This window comes from Homo sapiens, chromosome 6, assembly GCF_000001405.40.
Source record: "Homo sapiens chromosome 6, GRCh38.p14 Primary Assembly".
In the NCBI taxonomy this organism is placed as follows: domain Eukaryota; kingdom Metazoa; phylum Chordata; class Mammalia; order Primates; family Hominidae; genus Homo; species Homo sapiens.
Genome location: NC_000006.12, coordinates 108797741 through 108822844, shown reverse-complemented (window position 1 = coordinate 108822844; position 25104 = coordinate 108797741). Strand labels below are relative to the sequence as shown.

Below are 25104 nucleotides of genomic sequence, written 5' to 3'. Positions count from 1 at the left end.
GGTTCCCCTGCTACTCTACGGTTTCAAACACATGTGGCCCACCTCGGCAGGCACCAGATAACCGACCCTAAATAAAGAGAACCGCCGCTGAGAGGTGGGGTGCAGTCTCTGGCACACAGGTGCTAGGGAACTAGGTTTTGATTTTAAACACTCTGTGAAATGTGTAGCCAATGTGTTCCCTTCTTTGACTTGGTGCCCAGGAGGCTCAGAGCCAAATTTAGAAGCTCCATGAACTTCTTCATTTCCATGAACTAACTTCACTGTTGTCTTTATCTTACTATTCCACTTTTATCTTCCCCTTGCCCTCTTTGTCTGTTTTAGTTTGATATATTGTGTGCATTTGTATAAAGCCAACTCAAATCCTTTTGGGAGTAAGGTAGGGGAAATAAATAAGGAAGACCTCCTCAAATGGTCTTTTAACAGCCTGAGTATGCATCTTTATCTGACAAGAAGAACTGAAGCTGTTTGGTAGCTTTGTCAAATGAGTTGTGGAGTAAACCATGAGCTTGCTTTAATTTTTTTATTTTTTATTTTAGAGACGGAGTCTTGCTCTGTTGCCCAGGCTGGAGTGCAATGGCACGATCTTGGCTCACTGCAACCTCCACCTCCCAGGTTCAAGCAATTCTCCTACCTCAGCCTCCCAAGCTGGGATTACAGGCACCTGCCACCACACCTGGCTAATTTTTATATTTTTAGAAGAGACGGGGTTTCACCATGTCGGCCAGGCTGGTCTCCAACTCCTGGCCTCAGGTGATCCGCCCGCCTTGGCCTCCCAAAGTGCTGGGATTACAGGCGTGAGCCACTGCACCCGGCCTACGAGCTTGCTTTTAAGTAGAAAAACAAGGTTGACCCAGGGATGTCCTGCCTGCCCCAAAACCGAGTCTCCTTTGTTTTCTTTGGATTCTTTCCTATCCAGACCAAATTGTTCTACTAGCCTTTTATATTCTAATTTAATTGTTCAACTAGCTTCTAACTTTATTAAAGCTAAAATTAGAGAAAAGGAGTAATATTGCAGAAAAATCAACTTTGGTTTGCCAAAATAATGAAAGTTTTGTCCTGAAACACGGTTAAATTAAAAAGTAGGCTCACTTGGTTAGGCTACAGAATTCCTATCCCTAACAGCTTAAACAATTTGCACAGACAACTTCCACGAATGGTTTGAGCACAAATCTCTTAATAATATCCTTATAAAAATATTTTTTGTGACCTGCCGTCAATCAACATACATTTACTGAGTGTTATATCTGCTCAAGCACTCAGGGGATTACAAAGATAAGTAAACCCCGCCAGGTGTGGTGGCTCATGCCTGTAATCCCAGTGCTTTGGGAGGCCAAGGCAGGCAGATCACTTGAGGCCAGGAGTTCGAGACCAGCCTGGCCAACATGGCAAAACTCCGTCTCTACTAAAAATACAAAAATTAGCTGGGTGTGGTGGCAGGTGCCTGGAATCCCAGTTACGAGAGAGACTGAGGCAGGAGAATTGCTTGAACCTGGAAGGCAGAGGTTGCAGTGAGCCGAGATGGCGCCACTGCATTCCAGCCTAGGTGACAGAGAAAGACTCTGTCTCAAAAAAAAAAAAAAAAAAGTAAAGTAACATCAGTTCTCATGCTCCAAGGGCCTAGACTGTGAGGGTTGGAAGGTGGATTGAAAGATAAGTAAATGCATATATTGCAAGACAAAATGAGAGGGATGCCCGGAAGGCAGACGAACTCTTGTGAATGCAGAAGAGGAGAGGGTCTGGTTTGGGAGCTGAGATTGGTGCAGTCTTCTTGGGAGAAGCAGCGTTTGGCAAGGTTGTTATTTTCAAAAGGAGAACAGTGAGACAGAACAATGAAGCTGTTGAGACCCAACATAGAGATCCTTGAATTCAGGACAAAGGCACTGGTTCTCAATTTTGCAGTAAGGGGAAGCCACTGCAGGATTATCTGCTGGAGAGTGGTGTGTTTAATCTGACAGCAATGGCATTTTTATTTAATTTTATTTAGACACCACGTGGTTCCAGATTAGGATTTGAACTAATCATTACACTCTTTTTTAAAAAAGAAATGAAATGAAAGCCAGACATGGTGGCTCATACCTGTAATCTCAACATTTTGGGAGGCCGAAGTGGGAGGATGGCTTGAGCCTAGGTGTTCAAGACCAGCCTAAGCAACACAGGGAGACCTCATCTCTGCAAAAAATTTTTTAAATTAGCTGGGTGTGGTGGCACATGCCTATAGTCCCAGCTATTCAAAAGGCTGAGCTGGGAGGATGGCTTGAACCCAGAGGTTGAGGCTGCAGTGGCAGCTACAGTGAGCTACAATCACGCCACCACACTCCAGCCTGGGCAAAAGAGCAAGACCCTGTTTCAGAAAACGAAACAAAACAAAACAAACAAAACAAAACAAAAAAACACAAAGGAAAAAAAGAAAAGAAAAGAAAGAATTAAAATAAAAACAAGAAATCAAATGAAAAGTCTAAGTCCCAACTTACATTCCTGCAAACTGAAAATGAGCCAGTCTATTATTGGGCCATCGTGGCCTTGTTTTGATTCTACAAAGTCCATAAATAACTTGAATTATGGAGAGAAGTAACCAGAAGTCAAGTAGCACGTTTGGGAGGGCAGTTCCCTTTAGCAGAGCAATGTGACATTTTAACCTCCCTGCTTTCATCTGGACTGCCTGGGTCCACCTTCAAGAAGCGTGCTGACAATTTAATAGTATTGTTACACAACAAGCTTCCTTTTATTTTACTGAATTTTCCCTCAGACTTGCAGCTTTTCTGACACTACCAAATTCCCTGACAGAAATAGCCCTCAAATTAAATTGCTTCCTTGACTTCTTCAGAGTTTAAAGTTAAGGAAACAATATGTTTCTGATTCTCTTTCGAGTTCTTATGCTTAAGTCAGACCTTTTGCTCTGGTTATGTTACTGATGCTGCATTTTATGTCTCAAAATGCCTGCGATGGCTTTCCTACAAAGTCAAAAAGGATGATTTCAATGACACATTTCCTTGGCAGACATTTTATTAGTAGAGGTAAAAATAACAGAGGGTGCCGGGCGTGGTGCCTCACACCTGTAATCCCGGCACTTTGGGAGGCCGAGACAGGCGGATCACTTGAGGTCGGGAGTTTGAACCCAGCCTGGCCAACGTGGTGAAACCCTGTCTCTACTAAAAATATAAAAATTAGCTGGGCGTGGTGGCAGGCACCTGTGATCCCACCTACTTGGGAGGCTGAGACAGGAGAATTGCTTGAATCCAGGAGGCAGAGGCTGCAATGAGCTGAGATCGTGCCACTGCACTCACTCCAGCCTAGGTGACACAGTGAGACCTGGAAAAGAAAGAAAAGAAAAGGAAAGGAAAGAAAAGAAAAGAAAAGGAAAGAAAAGAAATGAAATGAAAAGGGAAAGGGAAAGGGCAAAGAAAACATAGGGTTAGAGGGGAGGTAAGAGATAGGAAATAAGGCCAGCGTATTAGTCCATTCTGCATTGCTATAAAGGAATACCTGAGGCTGGGTAATTTATAAAGAAAAGAGGTTTATTTGGCTCATGGTTCTGCAGGCGGTACAAGCATGCCACCAGCATCTGCTCAGCTTCTGGTGAGACCTCAGGGAGCTTTTACTCATGGCAGTGGGTGAAGGGGGAGCAGATGCGTCACATGGTGAGAAAAGAAGCAATAGAGAGAAGGGTGAGGTCCCAGACTCTTTTTTTTTTTTTTGAGACAGAGTTGCTGTGGCGCCCAGGATAGAGTGCAGTGATGGCCCGATCTCAGCTCACTGAAACCTCTGCCTCCAGGGTTCAAATGATTCTCCTGCCTCAGCCTCTCAAGTAGCTGAGATTACAGGCATGCACCACCACGCCCAGCTAATTTTTGTATTTTTAGTAGAGATGGGGTTTCACCATGTTGACCAGGCTGGTCTTGAACTCCTGACCTCAGGTGATCTGCCCACCTCAGCCTCCCAAAGTGCTGAGATTGTTTTAACAATTAGATCTCCCATAAACTTGTTACCATTGGGAGGGCACCAAGCCATTCATGAGGGATCCACCCCCGTGACCCAAACACCCCTCACTAGGCCCCACCTCCCACACTGGGGATCACATTTCAACATGAGACTTGGATGGGACAAATATCCAGACCATATCAGCCAGGAAGTTTGGTACCAAGAAATGATTAAACATGATTTAAAATACTGTGGTATGATAATACATGTAGCTAAGAGTCTTGGGGTCAAGGACAGGCAAGGCAAGGACTCATTTAAGGAGACAGGAAGCAGATGGATCTGTCTTTAGGTAGGGAAGTGAATATGAACGACTGGCAAAAAAAAGGCAGGAGTTCCTCCTCCCACAGGCTCTTTTGGTACCAGGCCCAATCCTGCTTGGTTACCCCCGTTGGAAGAAGCAGGGAACCATTAGGCTTCTGGCTCCCTACCCCAGGGTTCCCTAAAAACCCCAACATCAGCAGATAGGCCTGGGACAATTCCAGGTGCACTCACTGACCCAGAGCCCTTGTCCTGAAAATGGAACATCTCCAGCTTTTCCTACTGAGGCCTGAAACTCCTTTAAGCAATTGATGATAAAAGACACATTCCAGTTAAAGATAGAAGCCAGAAGATTGGCTAGGTAGCACTTTGTGTAAATAAGTTGGTTACCTTATCCTTTCATAGAGCCAAAGACTACATGGCTGGCGGGGACTGGAGGCTCCCTCCTTCAAGAGAGGAAGGAGGGTTTGGAAAGTGGAGAGTCTGTGACAGAAGAAGGACCTGGGAGGCACAGCTTTGGGGAGTTGCTGTGTTCACCTTCAGTGGACCCAAGGCAGAAGAAGCTGTGCCCTGGGGCATCCTGGCCCAAGGAAGGCAGTGCTGGGTCACATGATCCCTTAAAAACAATCACATAAGTTAACCTATTTATTACAGGCCAGTAATGTTTGAAATGGAGCCTCTACTAGTCTTCCAATTCCTTCAGTCTTCTGATAGCTGACTTTACTTTGGGGTTGTAAGTCCAGGCACCACTGCTACCATTTTCATGCTGGAGCCACAGTGCCACATCACCCCTTCATTTTGGTTTTGCCACAGAAGGAGCAAAATGTTACTTGCAGGCTGATTCCAATTTTCTTCATTTTCCTGAGAAAGGCACCATATTGGGTCCCATATTTACTGACGACTCCTACCTTCTTGGTGCATTTAGCCATGTCTCTGCCAGCCACCTGATATGGTTTGGCTGTGTCCCCACCCAAATCTCGTCTTGAATTGTAACTCCCACAATTCCCACATGTCGTGGGAGGAACCCAGTGGGAGGTGATTGAATTATGGGGGCAGGCCTTTACTGCGCTGTTGTTGCAATAGTGAATGAGTCTCATGAGATCTGATGGTTTTTAAAACAGGCGTTTCTCCACACAAGCTCTCTTTGCCTGCTGCCATCCATGTAAGATGTTATTTGCTCCTTCTTGCCTTCTGCCATGATTGTGAGGCCTCCCCAGCCATGTAGAACTGTGAGTCTGATTAAACCTCTTCTTTTGTAAATTGCCCGGTCTCGGGTATGTCTTTATCAGTAACATGAAAACAGATTAATACACCACCTCCGAGCCCAGCAAGGAAGCCACTTCCTTTATTTTAATGTCCACTAATTACTGTATAAATGAACCTCATCACCAGAAGATTTGTTAATTGAGGTAAAATTTGCTGTTTTTCTGCATCAACTAATGGGCAAAATAACAAGCGAGCATCATAATGACGGATCAAATTCACACATAACAATATTAACCTTAAATGTAAACAGGCTAAATGCCCCAGTTAAAAGGCTGGCAAATTGGATAAAGAGTCAAGACCCATCGGTGTGCTGTATTCAAGAGACCCATCTCATGTGCAAAGACACACACAGGCTCAAAATAAAGGGATGGAGGAATATTTACCAAGGAAATGGAAAGCAAAAAAAAAAAGCAGGAGTCGCAATCCTACTCTCTGATAAAACAGACTTTAAACCAACAAAGATCAAAAGAGACAAAGAAGGCTATTACATAATGGTAAAGGGATCATTGCAACAAGAAGAGCTAACTGTCCTAAATATATATGCACCCAATACAGGAGCACCCAGATTCATAAAGCAAGTCCTTAGAGACCTACAAAGAGACTTAGACTCCCACACAATAATAGTGGGAGACTTTAACACCCCACTGTCAATATTAGACAGATCAACGAGATAGAAAATGAACAAGGATATCCAGGACTTGAACTCAGCTCTGCACCAAGCAGACCTAATAGACACCTACAGAACTCCTCACCCCAAATCAACACAATATACATTCTTCTTAGCACCTCATCACAATTGTTCTAAAACTGACCACATAATTGGAAGTAAAACACTCCTCAGCAAATGCAAAAGAATGGAAGTCATAACAAACAGTCTCTCAGACTACAGTGCAATCAAATTAGAACTCAGGATTAAGAAACTCACTCAAAACCGCACAACTACATGGAAACTGAACAATCTGCTCCTGAATGACTACTGGGTACATAACGAAATGAAGGCAGAAACAAAGATGTTCTTTGAAACCAATGAGGACAAAGACACAACGTACCAGAATCTCTGGGACACATTTAAAGCAGTGTGTAGAGGAAAATTTATAGCACTAAATGCCCACAAGAGAAAGCAGGAAAGATCTAAAATCGACACCCTAACATCACAATTAAAAGCACTAGACAAGCAAGAGCAAACAAATTCAAAAGCTAGCAGAAGGCAAGAAATAACTAAGATCAGAGCAGAAGTGAAAGAGATAGAGACATGAAAAACCCTTCAAAAAAATCAATGAATCCAGAAGCTGGTTTGTTGAAAAGATCAACAAAATAGATAGACCACTAGCCAGACTAATAAAGAATAAAAGACAGAGGAATCAAATAGATGCAATGAAAAATGATAAAGGGAATATCACCACTGATCCCACAGAAATAAAACTACCATAAGAGAAAACTATAAACACCCCTATGCAAATAAACTAGAAAATCTAGAAGAAATGGATAAATTCCTGGACACATACACCCTCCCAAGACTAAACCAGGAAGAAGTTGAATCCCTGAATAGACCAATGACAAGTTCTGAAATTGAGGCAGTAATTAATAGCCTACCAACAACAACAACAACAACAACAACAAAAGCCCAGGACCAGATAGATTCACAGCCAAATTATACAGAGGTACAAAGAGGAGCTGGTACCATTCCTTCTGAAACTACTCCAAACAACAGAAAAAGAGGGAATCCTCCCTAACTCATTTTATGAGGCCAGCATCATCCTGATACCAAAACCTGGCAGAGACACAACAAAAAAAGAAAATTTCAGGCCAATATCCCTGATGAACATTGATGGGAAAATCCTCAATAAAATACTGTCAAACCTAATCCAGCAGCACATCAAAAAGCTTATCCACCATGATCAAGTCAGCTTCATCCCTGGGATGCAAGGCTGGTTCAACATACACAAATTAATAAATGTAATCCATCACATAAACAGAACCAATGACAAAAAACACATGATTATCTTAATAGATGCAGAAAAGGCCTGTGACAAAATTCAACAGTGCTTCATGCTAAAAACTCACAATAAACTAGGTATTGATGGAACGTATCTCAAAATAATAAGAGCTATTTATGACAAATCTATAGCCAATATCATACTGAATGGGCAAAAATTGGAAGCATTCCCTTTGAAAACCAGCACAAGATAAGGATGCCCTCTCTCACCACTCCTATTCAACATAGTGTTGGAAGTTCTGGCCAGGGCAATCAGGCAAGAGAAAGAAATAAAGGGTATTCAGTTAGGAAAAGAAGAAGTCAAATTGTCCCTGTTTGCAGATGAAAAGATTGTATATTTAGAAAACCCCATCGTCTCAGCCCAAAATCTCCTTAAGCTGATGAAAAACTTCAGCAAAGTCTCAGGATACAAAATCGGTGCACAAGAATCACAAGCATTCCTATGCACCAATATTAGACAGAGAGCCAAATCATGAGTGAACTCCCATTCACAATTGCTACAAAGAGAATAAAATACCTAGGGATACAACTTACAAGGGATGTGAAGGACCTCTTCAAGGAGAACTACAAACCACTGCTCAAGGAAATAAGAGAGGACACAAATAAATGGAAAAGGATTCCATGCTCATAGATAGGAAGAATCAATACCATGAAAATGGCCACACTGCCCAAAGTAATTTATAGACTCAATGCTATCCCCATCAAGCTACCACTGACTTTCTTCACAGAATTGGAGAAAACTATTTTAAACTTCATATGGAACCAAAAAGGAGCCCACATAGCTAAGACAATCCTAAGCAAAAAGAACAAAGCTGGAGGCATCATGCTACCTGACTTCAAACTATACTACAAGCCTGCAGTAAGAAAAACAGCATGGTACTGGTATCAAAACAGATATATAGACCAATGGAACAGAACAGAGACCTCAGAAATAACATCACACATCTACAACCATCTGATCTTTGACAAACCTGACAAAAACAAGCAATGGGGAAAGGATTCCCTATTTAATAAATGGTGTTGAGCAAACTGGCTAGCCATATGAAGAAAACTGAAACTGGACCCCTTGCTTATACCTTATACAAAAATTAACTTAAGATGGATTAAAGACTTAAATGTAGGACCTAAAACCATAAAAATCATAGAAGAAAACCCAGGCAATACCATTCAGGACATAGGCATGGGCAAAGACTTCATGTCTAAAACACGAAAAGCAATGGCAACAGAAGCCAAAATTGACAAATGGGATCTAATTAAACTAAAGAGCTTCTGCACAGCAAAAGAAACTATCATCAGAGTGAACAGGCAACCTACAGAATGGGAGAAAATTTTTGCAATCTATCCATCTGACAAAGGGCTAATATCCAGAATCTACAAATAGCTTAAATAAATTTACAAGAAAAAAAAAACCCATCAAAAAGTGAGTGAAGGATATGAACAGACACTTTTCAAAAGAAGACATTTATGCAGCCAACAAACATATGAAAAATAGCTCATCATCACTGGTCATCAAAGAAATGCAAATCAAAACCACAATGAGATAACATCTCACGCCAATTAGAATGGCAATTATTAAAAAGTCAGAAAACAACAGATGCTGGAGAGGATGTGGAGAAATCGGATGCTTTTACACTGTTGGTGGGAGTGTAAATTAGTTCAACCATTGTGGAAGACAGTGTAGTGATTCCTCAATGATCTAGAACTAGAAATACCATTTGACCCAGCAATCCCATTACTGGGTATATACCCAAAGGATTATAAATCATTCTGCTATAAAGACACATGCACACGTATGTTTACTGTGGCACTATTTACAATAGCAAAGACTTGGAACCAACCCAAATGTCCATCAATGATAGACTGGATAAGGAAAATGTGGCACATATACACCATGGAATACTACGCAGCCATGAAAAGGGATAAGTTCATGTTCTTTGCAGGGACATGGAAACCATCATTCTCAGCAAGCTAACACAAGAAAAACCAAACACCACATGTTCTCACTCTTAAGTGGGAGTTGAACAATAAGAACACATGGACACAGGGTGGGGAACATCACATACCAGGGCCTGTCTGGGAATGGGGGGCGAGGGGAGGGATATCATTAGGATAAATACCTAATGTAGGTGACGGGTTGATGGGTGCAACAAACCACCATGGCACGTGTATACCTATGTAACAAAACTGCATGTTCTGCATGTATACCCCAGAACTTAAAGTATAATAAAAAACATTTTAGGTATCATAAAAAAATTTGCTGTTTTTCAAAAGAAACCACCATCAGAGTGAACAGGCAACCTACAGAATGGGAGAAAATTTTTGCAACCTACTCATCTGACAAAGGGCTTATATCCAGAATCTACAATGAACTCAAACAAATTTACAAGAAAAAAACAAACAACCCCATCAAAAAGTGGGCGAAGGATATGAACAGACACTTCTCAAAAGAAGACATTTTATGCAGCCAACAGACACATGAACAAATGCTCATCATCACTGGCCATCAGAGAAATGCAAATCAAAACCACAATGAGATACCATCTCACACCAGTCAGAATGGCGATCATTAAAAAGTCAGGAAACAACAGGTGCTGGAGAGGATGTGGAGAAATAGGAACACTTTTACACTGTTGGCGGAACTGTAAACTAGTTCAACCATTGTGGAAGACAGTGTGGCGATTCCTCAAGGATCTAGAACTAGAAATACCATTTGACCCAGCCATCCCATTACTGGGTATATACCCAAAGGATTATAAATCATACTGCTATAAAGACACATGTACACGTATGTTTATTGTGGCACTATTCACAATAGCAAAGACTTGGAACCAACCCAAATGTCCATCAATGATAGACTGGATGAAGAAAATGTGGCACATATACACCATGGAATACTATGCAGCCATTAAAAAGGATGAGTTCATGAGGGACATGGATGAAGCTGGAAACCATCATTCTCAGCAAACTATCGCAAGGACAAAAAACCAAACACCGCATGTTCTCACTCATAGGTGGAAATTGAACAATGAGAACATTTGGACACAGGAAGGGGAACATCACACACGAGGGACTGTTGTGGGGTGGGGGGAGGGGGGAGGGATAGTATTAGGAGATATTCCTAATGCTAAATGACGAGTTAATGGGTGCAGCACACCAACATGGTACATGTATACATATGTAACAAACCTGCACGTTGTGCACATGTACCCTAAAACTTAAAGTATAATAAAAAAAATTGCTGTTTTTAAAATGACTTATTGAGCTAATCAGAGAGTGGTATTTCAACCATGGAAACATTAATAGACTCAGAAAAAGCAAAACCTTGGCACACCTCAGTGCAGGGAGCTGCATAGGGGCAGGGTCTAGGTCAAGATGAGGATTGCTAGGATGCAATCCCACAGACCCTGCTTTGCTAGCCAGAAATAACATTTTCCTCTATGCACTAGCTTCCCTGCCTCAAAACAGGAGCTACTGCTTTATAGAAAACGTCCCATTGACTCTCGCTGCATTTGTCCTCATGAGGGGCATATTATTCTCTCATTGGGCAGCCGTTAAGGCCCACACTTGAAGCCACAGCATTGGCAAGTCCAAAGCTGGGGTTGAAGGGTGGCCTGGGTGTGGAGCCTGCACTCCTGAGCACAGTGTGCACGGCCTCCAGGGGCTCCCCCGCTCACCCAGGGCCTGGGAGGCAGCCACACAGCCACTTCCACGATGCATAGGGCAAAGGCAGAGACCTATCCACAGCACGGGCACTCTGCAAATATTTCCAAAAGTGCCCCTTAGTTCACTGGAGATTAGTCAGGATGAAGAAAGGGGCTTTCTGCCCTGCCTTTCCTCCCATCCAAGGGCAGCTCAGATTAATAAAGGCTGTAAGAAGAAAATTCTCTCTAGCTGGGCGTGGTAGCTCACACCTGTGGTCCCAGTGACTTGGGAGGCTGAGGAAGGAGGATCACTTGAACCTAGGAAGTGGAGGTTGCAGTGAGCTGAGATCGTGCCACTGCACCTCAGCCTGGGCAACAGAGTAAGACCCTGTCTCTAACTTAATTAATTAATTAATTAAAATAAAATAAAAAGAAAATCCTTGACCTGGAGCTTACTCAGACGCTCTAGCATGATGATTTTCCTTCTTTCTAGAGGTGTGGAAATCACCTCCTAGATCTGGTCTTATTTTTCTTTACAATGTGTTTGAATCGAACGACTGCCTAGAATTGTCAGAACAAAATCTTAAAGCAAGTCATACAGTTTGCCGCTGTTCCTAGCGGTCATTTGTAGTCTCTATCTTGGTCCCCGTGCCATTTTCTTGGGGACAGTGCCACTCAAACAGTGGTAGAAAGGCCAACATCAATCATCATGGGCACCTGGGAGTTTGTAACAGATGCGGATCCTCAGGTCTCACCCGAGACTTACTGAATCAGAGACTGGGGGAGTCAGGCCTGGTCGGTTTCAGCAAGCCTTCCAGGTGATTCTGATGCAGCTAGGAGCTGGGAAGCACTGTTTCAGGAGACTATACATGGCAAATTAACTAGTGTTCTACTTAAACCCTCATATTGATAGACTCAGACCCTATGCGAGTTTTGGACTCCTGGATGGATAAATCTAAGTGTCTTGTCAGCTGCTAGACCTGCGCCCTCTCCCCGTCACGCCTCTGCCCTGGAATTTTCCCTTGTCAACACTTTGCTGTCCTATGTTCCTTAGGGCCCCAATTTATGAGACCAATTTATTAAAGTGTTGTCCCTCCATCCCCACCTCAGGTAATATGCTTTTCAATGAGGGAGACATTGATTAAATAAGTATACAAAAATTTAATGCAGGATACTATTTTGAAAATTATTACCAGGCATTACTTTTTGTTTGCTTTTTATGAGCTCATGATCTTCTCCCTGGTCTTACTGGAGCAGAGGATTAAGATTATTTCAGAAATAATGCAAACAGAAAAAAAGTTAATATTCAGCTTCTGGTATCTAAAATAAGATTTGAAGCAAAACAGCAACCTTGAAAGTTGGGCCTTCAATTTAAAAAAAAAAAAGGTTTTCTAAAAAATTAGTTCTTGTGTAACATATTAAAGGCTCTGTGTGGTGAAGTATTAGATCATGGAAATTTTTACAAGATGGAAATTGCATGGCCGAGCACAGAAATTGCATGGCCAAGCACAGTTCAAGACTGTAACCCCAGCACTTTGGGAGGCCAGGGTAGGAGGATTGCTTGAGCTCAGGAGTTTGAGACCAGCCTGGGCAACATAGTGAGACCTTGTCTCTACAAAAATGTTTAAAATCAGCCAGGTGTGGTGGTGCATGCCCATAGTACCAACTATTCAGGAGGCTGAGGTGGGAGGATCACTTGAGCCCGGGAGGTTGAGGCTGCAGTGAGCCATGATCATGCCACTGCACTCCAGCCTGGGCAACAGAGAGAGACCCTATGTCAGAAAAGGAAGGAAGGAAGGCAAGAAGGAAGGCAGGAAGGCAGGAAGACAGGAAGGAAGGGAGGGAAATTGCAGGTAGACAGGAATGGGAATTTTTGTTTTCAGTCCCATCCCTCGGGCCCTAAATAGCGCTGGGCAGTGAAAGGTGCTCTGTCAGTCAGCTCTGGGGCCTGCTCACCACTCTCTGGTCTAGGCCTGAAGGAGGAGACATTTAGATTAGGTTGAAGGAAACATCGAGAGTGGCAGGGCTGTGCCCCATTTCCCATCTGGGATCTTGGTGGGGACTGCTGTGAAGGTCAAGATAGGCAGCCTTGCATTGCTAGGAGGGCAGAGAGGGGTCTAGTGTGTACTCTTGAACACATTTTCTCCCATAAGCCTGGAGATTTGCCAGGGCCCTAATGTGGCTGGGAGCAAAATAACCCTACAGCCCACACTGTGGGTGGCAGCCTGGGCCAGGACCCAGAAGGACAGTGTGACAGGGACTCAGAAATGTCTGTGATGACAGAGTGAAGCAAGGGGAGGCCGTATCCGCAGGGAGGGCCAGTGGGCTGAGAAAGACCACAGCAAGAGTTTGCAGACAGCTGAGACTAGTAGCACACCAAACCAGCCCACACACAGCATGGGGGTCACCAAGAGTGTTCTCACACACAGGCCTGCCATGACATCCTGAAAGCCTGCTCATCACACCCCACACAAATACCTTCTAAGAAAGGAGCAGGGGCAGGACAAGAATCTGGAAGACAACAATTCAACGGTGGAAACCAAAGTCACCCTACAGGCACAGTATTTAAATCATGGCATCCAAGTCTGGAACTGCTTGGACTCAGTCTAGTTTATTTCTGTTGCTACCCAGTGGGTGGGGGACTCATGAGAACCCCAGTAGACATTTTCTTCACACATGTGAGCATGGTCAGTCAGAAGTCCCGCTATTCCCCGGGTACCACCTGGGCTAAATGGGGCATCCTCGTCCTGTTTATTTTCAGTAAACTACGTCCCAGGCCTCTCTGACGGAGCCCAGATGATGCCTGTGATGCTGTGTGGGTTGTCAGGCTTTCCACGGTGCCACCTTCAGGCTCAGGGGAGATGCCAGACACTCCCAGCTCCCTCGTGTTCCTCCCTTACCAAGTTATTAACATATTGTCAACGCGTGGTCTCACCCTGAGGCACCAAGACCACCACTTGGGTTTGGAGGGGGCTACGGGTGGGGTGTAAAGCACCCCCAGGTTGTAGGAGGAGCCTCAAAGAACCAAGGGGCTCCAGGCAGTTGTAGGAGACATAAGAAAATGAAAACTGCAGACCTGGAGGGTTGGGGCTCAGAGCGCATCTAGTCCAACCACCTTACTTGACCAAACCAGGAAACTGAGGCTAACCAAGTCGTAATATCAAGACATGAGCCTGTGTTTGGGGGTCTCTGTCCTTTGCAGCCCTCCCCTGGAGAAGGGGGTGGTGCATGGGTAAGGGGGTCCCATGAAGGCTCCATGTGGGAGACCGGTCCTACTTGCCTTTCATTTCCCTGCAAGCCAGCCCTGAGAGTGGGACCCACTTCTAGTTCCAATTTGTTCTATTCTTTTTTAAAAATTGTTTTAAAATAATATTACAATTTTAATTAACCGCTTTCACTGTCTGGCATCATCCTAGTCCTTGTGCTCTCTATACCCCTAACAACAAATCATGCTGCTTGCCTATTGACTGCCTGTAAATCAAACCTTTCACAGCCTATTAAATCACAGCAGATTGACTAGGTGGTTTTTGCAAAGTCAGCCTTTTAGGCCAACATTGTTGTTTCTTCTTGTCTCCCAACTTGGGAGACGGGGCCCAAGTCCTCTGTGGGGGGGTTGTGGGCATTAGGGCTGACCGTGTTTAAGGCTCCAAGCTAAATTTAGTCCTCCCAGCTGGTTGTTATTCCAGCAACTAAGTGTAGGCTTGCCCAGCTGTATTTTAAGCTGAGCCCCAAATTTCCCTCTGTTTGGTTTTGTTGTGTTCTGCAGGATTTTGCTTTAGCTACCAAAAATATACAGGATTTTCTTGTGGATGTTTAAATAAGTAAGTTCAACAGGAGTGGGCAAGAATACACCATCTAACCATGATGTGGGAATTTGTGATTTGAAGGCACCTGTCCGGCAAGTGGAGGACATTTTTTTGACCACCGAGTTCATTGTCTGAGACTAAGGAAAAAAGGAAGGCCTTGATTGCTAATTTGCACATTCAGAAAGCTTACTGTTAAGAAGCATTTGCAAAATTTCCAAAACCCTATGCTAAGGTACAAAACAGTATACATCGTATGCTACCATCTGTGTAGGAAAATAGAGAATACATGTTTGTATATGCAAATGATATTTCTGGAAACATTTGCAAGGAACTGGCAATGCTGGTTGCCCCTGGAGAGAAAAATTGAAAGACTGAAGGCCAGGGAGTCGGGTTAGAATTTTTTTTTTTTTACTGTGTGTGTGCATTCCTTATAGCTTTTATACTTTAAAAATGTATAATTCGGATTATGCATCTGTACACTGATATGTAAAATCATGGCTTCATTATTCCACTATTGCCATAGCAGTGTGCAATATAGCACCTACCAGTGCAGAAACCCTGGGGAAGAGCAAGCAAGAGGTCACAGATGTGTGAGCAGAGACATGTGAGTTCATAGTATACACACATATGCACATGCACAGACACATTCATATTTTTCAGCACATAATTGCACTAGTAAAGGTTTTAAAAATAGAGTACTAACTAAAAAGGTTGGAAGCAAATATTCCAAAATGTTAATAGTACTTAATTCTGCATGGTGGGAATGTGGGTGATTGCTATTTTCTCCTCTAGATGTCTGTGCATTGAAAACATTTCGACCCAAAGCTTTCTTTTAAAAATAGTTCTGGACCTTGTGTTTTTAAAAAGTGTATTATGCAGGAAGACTAAAGGAGTCCGCATAGGAGTGAGTCTCCAAGTGTTCATATTCGGTATCCTATTAGAAGCACCTGAATTTCTTCTAATTTTCACTTCATATCATTCAGGGATGACTCATATTTGCTAATGTCTCACCCTTGGATCCACTCATTTCAGTTCAACAAATGTTTATCCAACAAGTATTATGGACTCACAATGGGCTGGGTCTGAGATGAGTGAGACACGACATAGCTCAATTCGTGTGGGAAATAATTATCCTTTCTCTAAGAATTTTCTAAAACAAGAAAACATTTGCATTGACTCTAAGCTTTAAACAAAATACTTCTCAGTCATCATAATTCCATGCAGCTAAGGCCTTATGTCTTCCTTCTGAACTCTTCCCACAGGGATTATTATTTCAGGTACCATCCTTGCTCGAAGGCAGGAGGCTGCACAGGATGACCTTCAAAGGCCATTGGATTCTTGTCATTTGTTGGTCCTGCCCTATTCAACAGCACAATAACAAGACTGAAGTGGTGACATGGTAAAGAAAACAGTTTATCCTGGAAACTGAGAATCAAATTTCTTAACAAACTCATCACAGTGTGTTCTACTTACTTCAGCATTTTAACCTCCTGGACCAGCTGTGAACTCGAGGTCAGTGTATTGACTGCATCAATAACTCACTCGAAGCTCTTTCTGGAAAGGAGCTAAACACCAGGATGAGCTTGATAAACACTGTGTCTGAGGCAGAGGAGGAGGGTAATGGAGGTGCAGATGAGGAAGATCTGGTCCTAGGGAGAGGATTGGTGAGAGCCAGTGGAAATGCCAGGAAGTGCCTGGAGACAGGGAGAGACACTGAAGTCTCCAGCGGGGATCCTTGCTCCACGGAAACAGCTTCTGTTCTGCAAGGTCCCCAGTGGGGTCGTCTGGAATTCCTGCCAGAGCCTGTCTGCATCATGACGGATTGCTACCTTCACAGAGCCAGGCCAGCCTGGGGCTCACACTTAGTTTAGAATCACTGGTGAAGTAGAAATGAGGAAGTGGGAAGTAGAAAAATGACTCTGAGTCACTTGTTTTTTGTTGTTGTTGTTGTTTTTTAAACCAGCACCGCAGAGTCTCTTGACCTTGGCCTTCTGTTTAATCTTTTTTTTTCATTGTTTCACAGACAGGGTTTCCCTCTGTGGTCCAGTGCTGTGCAGTGGTGTGATCCTAGCTCACTACAGCTTTGAACTCCTGGCCTTCAGCAATCTTCTTGCCTCAGCCTCCCAAAGTGCTGGGATGACAGGCGTGGGCCACCACACCTGACCTGACCCTGACCTTTAAACACACTCAGCCTTGGGCCAATCCCTCCATCCATTTGTTCTCTGGCTGAAAACAGAGTGCCATCTGTTGTTGGAGCAAATCACTTAACTGTCTGCTGGCTCTGCAGCAAATCCATGCTTTCTATAAGAATTTTGTGGGCCCTCCTTGTTGCTCAGAAATCTCCTACTTACCCCCTGGGCTCCCTCTCCTCACTGCAAACATTTTTTTTCCCTACACCCGCCATACATCCCCCATCACGGCCCTTTCTTTCTCAAGGGGTAAGTCCGTCCCCCTTTTCATTAGGAGACAGGCTGTCTGCTGTGTTTCAGCTCCCTCAGTTTCCCTTCTCCCTATGCAAAATCTGCCATGTTGTGCATTTCTCCCTGTGGCAGGCAGACTCCAGGATGGCTCCCGATGATCCCTGCCTCCTGGTGTTTGCACGCTTGTGGATCTCCTCCTCTTGGAGTATGAGGGCACCTGTGACTGTCTCCAGCAACAGAATAGGGCAAGGTGATGTCGGTCCTGTGATGACATTACATAAGACGTAGCTTCCATCTGGCTAGCAGACTGACTCCATCGACTTTCCCCCTTGCTAGCTTTGTTGAAGTAACACCATATGGAGAGGCCCACATGGCAAGAACTGAGAGCAGCCTTCAGCTAACAGCAGCAGGGAATTAAGGCCCTTTGAGAGTCCACAAGAAACTGCAACATGCCAACAACCACATAAGCTTGGAAGGGAATCCTTCCCTAGTCAAGCCTCAGATGAGACCCCAGCCCGGGCTGACGCCTTGATTGCAGCCTTCTGAGAGACTCCGAAACAGGACTGAGCTAAGCTGTTCCCAGGTTCCTGACTCACAGAAACTATCAGAAAATTAATGTGTGTTTCAAGTTGCCAAGTTTGTAAAGATTTTGTTACATAGCAGTAGATAACTAACACAGTCCTATTTTCCTCCTTTCTCAAACTAATAGATGCTTCCCCAGTTCCTTTCCAACTCCCTAGGCCATCCGCATCTGCTCTTGATCCCATTCCTTTCTCTCTCTTTCAGGTTATTTCCTCAGCTTCTGAGTTAGTTAAATCCACCTGTCTACCCATGCTGTAACTGCATATCCACAGTGGAAACTAATGCATACCCCTGATGACCATTTCACTTGACTTTGGGGCCACTGAACTTGGGGGTCCTTAAGGGCTGGCCTGATACTCCCTAGACCACCCAGGACTGTCTCCCTCCTAGGTCACCAGATTATACCTTTGCCTCCATTCTCAAATCTCCAACACCCCTTTACTTATCTTGTCGTTAAGCTGCTGACTTTGCTTGCCATTTCCCAGAGAAAAAAGGAGCAATCAATAGAGAACATGCACCCTTGCCACCCCCACACTGCCACCACTGCATCTGCCAACTTACCTGTACCTGTGTCCAGCCACCCTACCTCCACCTTCTGTTTCTCTGAACTGTGAGCTGGAACCTCGCCTAAGTCCAGTCTCTCCATCTGTGCGATAGATCCTGCCTCCTTTCACCTATCCAAGTCCATAGCACAAAACGTCCTCTTTATTTCTTCTGCATCAGCAATTTGTCCCTGTCTAATGGAGTCTTTCCATGAGTATACCGACCACTGTGATTTCTCCCATCTTAAGAAAAAAAAAAAAAAGAAGACAGAAAATACTTTCTTGGGCTCATATCTATCTTTCCCTCTCGCTACCACTCCATTTTCCTACTCTCCTTTGCAGCAAAATTCCTCCAAAGAGTTGTTTAAACTTTCTGCTCTCTGATTCCTCTCTTCGAATTCTCTTTCAAATCTTCTTCTGCCAGGCTTCTCCACTCACTCCCCTCCACCCATGCTCCACCCATGCCCTTGCTCTTGCTGGGTCACCAGGGACCTCCATCTGGCTTAACCCAATGGACAATGCTGAGTCCCCATCTCAGCTGGCCTGGCAGTAGCATGCCCACCTCCCTCAAACACTTTCTTCACGTATCTCTGGGACACTACTCACCTCTGATTCTCCTCTGCCCTCACTGACTACTCACTCAGTCTTCCTGGCTGGTTGCTTCTTCTCTCCTGCTCTAAATGTTGGGGGACCCAGAGCTTGGTCCCCAGACTCCTTTTCTCCCTGCGCTTACTCCCTAAGGGATCTCACCCTTCTCACAGCGTAAATACCGCCTGTACACCAAGAACCTCAAATGTCCTGAGCCAGCACAGAGCCCTCCCCTGGGCTGAAGGCTCACATGTCCATCCACCTATTTCTCCACTTGGATGTCGAAGGGCATCTCAAAATGAGCGTGTCTAAAACTGAACTCCTAACTTCCCATCAATACTGCACCTCTTGAAGTCTTCCCATTTCAGCAACCCCATCTTCCCAATTGCTACTGCCAAAAACCGTGCGCTTATCCTTGATTCCTCTCTTCCTTTCATGTGCCACATTAAATCCATGAGCATATCACACTGGCCGCGCTTGCAACATGTATCCAGGATCCAACCTCTTCTCATCACCTCCACTTTAGCCCAAGCTACCCATCACCTATGACTGCAATAACTTCCTTACTGTTCTCCCAGCTTCTACCCTTCCCCTCCATCAGTGTGTTCTCAATATATTCACCAGCCTGGTCAGTTTAGAACATAAGCCAGATTATTCCTCTAATGAAACTTCATTAGCTTCCCCTCCATATTGCTTAGAATAAAAGTCAAAGTGCCTTCAGTAGCCTGCAGATAAGGTCTTCCGTGATCTATCCACGGCTCCATCCCCACTCCCACCCCTCACTATTTCTCTGAACTCTTTTACCACTGACCCCTTTACTCATTCTGCTCCAGCCACACCGACCTCCTTGCTATTCCTCTGAGCACGGGCATGTTTCCACCTCAAGGCCTCTGTCCTTTCTGCTCTATCTGGATCATTCTCTCAGGATTCACAGATATCTTGTGCTTTTTTAAAGCTTTATGCTCCAATGTCATGTCTTCAGCAAGGCCTACCTTGACTTATCCTGTTGAAAATGGCAACACTCCCCACCCAGCATTCCCTTTCCCTCTTCCCTGTTTTATCATTCTCTCTATCACTACAGAATACACTCTATATCTTACTCATTTAGTTGTTGGTTATTTTCTGCCCCCACTGTAAAACAGAAACTGGTTGAGGGCAGAGACATTTGATTTTATAGTTCACCTCTGTAGCATCAGTGCCTGGCATGTGGTAGGTGCTCAATAAAAATGATAGGCTGAATATTGTTGTTAAAAATTCCTTGGACTAGGTCTTGAGAGGACAATTAGGGTGATGGGGCTAGAGCAGAGCAGAGAGCTCATGCTCCCACTCTACATCCACAGATTCGACTACAGGCTGAGTATCCCTTATCCCAAATGCTTGCAACTGGAAGTGTTTTGGATTTTGGAATATTTGCATTATACTTGCTGATTGAGCATCCCAAATCTGAAAACCCGAACCCCAAAAAGGTCCAATGAGCATTTTCTTTGTGCATCATGTCAGTGCTCAGAAAATTTCAGATCTTGGAGCATTTTAGATTTTGGATTTGGGATGCTCAACCTGTAATCGCCTCTATTTGATAAACCCCACCTTTACATCTCTGATATTCAAATTCCTATTTCTAGCTGCCTGATTATTGTTTCTATGAGAAACTCAGAATGTGGACATTCTGAGTTCATACCTCATGTAGTACTCTTTTTGTGTTTCTCTTCTCAGAGCAGGTCATTACCTGCCATTCACCCAGTAATCCAGATGAGAAGCTGATCAATTACGCTTGTGTAAACATCTACTGAGTATATAATCTCTGCCACCCAGCCACTAGCAGCACAGGGCAATGCACACAGCTCCCTCTTTCAAGGAGCTGAGTTTGGTGCAGTAGGCATTGTGATAGAGAAATGTACAGGGTGCTTTTGTTCATTTTTCCAAAGCGAAACTACCTAATTTTTATGATGATTAAAATAATATATGCCTCTTATAAACAATTTGATTGCAGAACTAAAATAGAAAATGAAAGTCACCTGTAATCTCACATTCAAGAGGGCACTGCTGTTAACAGGTTGGTATACGATACAGTTTGGGTATCTGTCCCCTCCAGATCTCAATGTTGAAATGTGATCCCCAGTGTTGGAAGTGGGGCCTAGCAGGTGTTTGGGTCCTAGAGGCAGATCCCTTATGAATGGCGTGGTGCCCTCTCTCTGGTTAGGAGTGAGTTCTTGCTCAATTAGTCCACATGGAAGCTGGTTATTTAAAAGAGCATGGCACCCCTCCCCTATCTTTCTTCCTTCTTTCTTCTCCTAGCATGTGATGCCTGTTCCCCTTTCCCTTCCACCATGAGTGGAAGCTTCCTACAGCCTCAGCAGAAGCAGTTGCTGGTGCTATGCTTCTTGTGCAGCCTGCAGAAACATGAGCCAAATAAATCTCTTTTCTTTGTAAATTACCCAGCCTCAGGTGTTTCTTTATAGCAACACAAATGGACTAAGACAGCATATATCCCTCCAGACATTTTTCTATGCGTATTTAAAGGTAGCTAAGACTTACTGAATTCTTAGTATGGATTACAAACCTCTATGCTGTGCATTTTAACATCACAGTGATCCTCCGAGGTAGGTATTTTGTTATCCCCATTTTATGTACAAGGAAACTGAGGTTTAATGAGGTCAAATAAGATCCCATAGGTGGTAAAGTGACTGTCAGTCAACTTAGGCTGAGTTATGTTCTGGTAACAAGCATTTTCTTTTTTTCTTTTTTTTGAGACAGTGCAGTGGCATGATCTCAGCTCACTGCAACCTCTGCCCCCACCAGTTAAAGCGATTCTCCTGCCTCAGCCTCCCGAGTAGCTGGGATTACAGGCATATGCCACCACACCCAGCTAATTTTTGTATTTTTTAAGGAGAGACAGGGTTTCACCATGTTGGCCAAGCTGGTCTCAAATTCCTGACCTCGTGATCGGCCCGCCTCAGACTCCCAAAGGGCTGGGTTTACAGGCATGAGCCACCGTGACCAGCCAACAAGAATCTTCAAAATCTCAGTGGCTGACAATAACAAAGGTTTATTTCTTGCTTATGCTAATGAATCATGTCGACCAGGAGTCAGCTGTGGCTCTGCTCCATGCTGTCTTTGTTCCAGGACCCAGGCTGAAGCTGAAGGAGCACCCTCTATCTGGGACTTAGCTGTTCATCATAAAACAGCAGAAGCAAACAGTGGCTCCTAAACCATCTACTTAGAAGGGGCATATATCACTTCTGCTCTCATTTCATTAGCCAAAGGAGGTTCTAGGACCAGCCTGCTATTAATGAACAGGAACGAATAACCTTCCCCCAGGGAGAGACAGTAAATATTTTTCAGCAGTAACACAATCCACTGAAAGTCCTGAGCTGGGATTTTAACCAGCCTGTCTTTAGAGCTTAAAAGCTTAACTACTCTTCATATACTGTGTATATTTTAACCCTAAAAGTAGGAGTTCTACACATATTGCTGGGTAAACTCCTTTATCATGTAATCTATCTCAGACATCTTGCTATATTTGTTCATATAGACTTTGCATATTCTTTTTTCAAGGATATAGAGTTTCAGATACGGTATCCCCCATTCTGCCTGTTGAGGTCCTCCTCATTCATCCAAGTTCAACTGAGGGGCCTCACCCACCAGAACAAGTCATACTTTTTCAGCATGCGTGCAGTGTTGGGTTTACACTTCACTTTGGTCACATGTGTGCCTTGTCTTAGAGTTCTTTGTATACATGTCTGTTTCTCTCACTTGATTTTAAGCACCTGGAAGCAAGAATCATCTCTATACCTAGATAAAGATTGCTATCTTCCTATGCCTGGCTGTGCTCAACAGAGATGAGATGCTATCTGTTGGTTTTGCAATACTGTGGAATTATCCTCCATGCTATCCCTGTCACTTCATTGCCTGTGCTGGTCCTTTTGTATCATTTAAATTTGGTGACCCCTTCAGAACTCACACAGTTTGAATAGTTCTGCTTTCCAGTATTCATCAAAGTTACACCAGCAATGACAACTTTAAAGAAACAATGGCAAATAGGCATCAATCTCTCCCTTCTGACTCTTTGAAAGAAGAATATAGTGCAGGAGAAACACAAACCTAGTAAAATAATTGTTGTAAATCCATATCATCAAGTTTTCCCCTCTGGTCTCTACAGCAAGTTACTGGGTGCATGGGAGTTCATCTTTAAGAACAGAGCTGTCGGAATGACGCCAGGGCTGAAGCCCGAATAAAGCCGCAGAGCCAGGCGCACTTGCTAATGATCTAGGAGAGGGTCCCGCCGCACGCAATCAAACACACAGCACACTCTTGGGGTTCAAAAGCTCCCTTTCATGCGCCCAGAATGTTTATTTTTTTTAAGAGTGGCAAATGAAAATGAATTTCTAATCTGCATCACAACCAGAGTGCACCATGCATGGAAAAAAAAGCCCTTCCCTGACACAAAGGCCACGGCCATCTGGAAGAAAAGCCACCCTCCTAAGCAGATCAGCTGCAGGTTCCATCGCACTGGGGCGGATTTGCCCGGAAACAGGCATCTTGCCTTTATTAACTTACCCCGTCATTAACAGTAATCAGCATTGTCCGCTCCATCTAATTCTTACTGAGCACCTGTGTATGTGGTGTTGCGTGGCCTGTCCCTGAGAGACCCTAAGGACAAATGCATCCTCTCTTGTCCCAAAGCCAGCTTCGTCAACAGGAGGTGCTTTGGAAAAGTAGTGTGAGCAGGGCCAAAACCAACCAAAGCCAACACGATTTTTAAAAGTGCGGTGTGTGTGCAGGTGAATGTCAAGCCCTCACTGGTAAGAAGGTGCTCTCGGGGCCCTCTCCTGCTTCTTCAGGCCTCCCCCAACCCAGGCCCCTAGGAGCACAGCCAGATTTCCTCCCTCATTCTGCAGTGCAACAAGGCTCTCGCCTCAGTGCACTGAGCCCGCTCCTGCTGCGGGAACCCAGGCTGGAGTGTGAAACCAGCTCTCTGCCTGCCGCAGGGACTGTTATCACCGCTCCCCACGCTGCTTCCTGTCACGTATCCTGTGCCAATGCTGTGTCAAGCCCATCTTACATTTTTCAAAGTGTCTTTAGCATCATTTCCTGAGCCTGAACATTTGCTCGTCCTGCAAAACAAGAACTCATTTTACAAAGTTTCACTCAGGATTATTAGGACCACAGAGGCAAGAGTAAACACTATTCTCTTATCAGCAAGAGAGACAGAGAGCCCAGCTTTGCTGTGACACTCCAGTAATTTGCAAACCAGAGCAGGTCTGTGTGTTTTTATCTAAGTAGAGAGACCTGCTCTTCCAGTTAAAAAAATCATATTAAAAATTACACCATTCCCTCTCCCCACATAATTTAGCATCAGATAATTTTCTGCAGTGATTCCTCCTTTCTCGAGGGCTGCGAGGAGGCAGCATGGAGGTGCCAGGAGTTTGGCTCAGTGTACAGGTGGCCGGCATGTTAGTCTCAGCCCAGCTCACTGTAAATAATGCAGCCTGACAAGATTTCTCCTTTCCTTTCACCTTTCGCCTAACTCTTTCAGCCCGCTCGCTTACATCATCCTGGTTGGATTTAAATAGCTAACTGTGCCATGTTCTCCTGGACACAAACCACCGGACTGGCCACCTCCGTAGCTAGCCTCTACCTAGTAGAGCTCTGGGGCCAATGGCTGCCAGAGCTCAGCGCTTGCTGGAGTCCAGTGAATTTTCTGTCACTAAGGGAGGGAAAAACGTAGAGGCACAGGAGGTCTGTTCATGCATGGGAATACTTGCATGCCTGGGCAATGAGTTGTGTTGTGTGAATCTTACTATGTCCTGGGTATAAAGGGAAAAGATAATGTGCATCCTTTGTTCCCTCCTATTAAACTATAACTAGATGATACATTCAAACTCAGTGGTTAACTTATGAAATGATTTCAGCTCAAAAGATGGGTAGAAAATCTCTGGGAACTGCAACCTTTCCCTTTTCATTTTAAGGATATGTTAGCTACATTCTTGCGGCAGTGCAATGTTGCATGAATATCAAGCTGAGTTT

At 44.2% G+C, this 25104-nt stretch overlaps 1 pseudogene, besides 1 other annotated feature; it reads right to left on the bottom strand.

The window, feature by feature from the left end:
- On the bottom strand, positions 4919–5165 carry RPL37AP3 (ribosomal protein L37a pseudogene 3; annotated as a pseudogene).
- Positions 15880–17079: an enhancer, noted in NCBI's record as "CDK7 strongly-dependent group 2 enhancer chr6:109126969-109128168 (GRCh37/hg19 assembly coordinates)". NCBI's record gives its function as "activates an origin of replication core promoter dependent on BRD2, BRD4, P300/CBP, MED14 and CDK7 cofactors, with strong dependence on CDK7, by STARR-seq in HCT116 cells {active_cell/tissue: HCT116}" and the evidence as "EXISTENCE:reporter gene assay evidence [ECO:0000049][PMID:35650434]".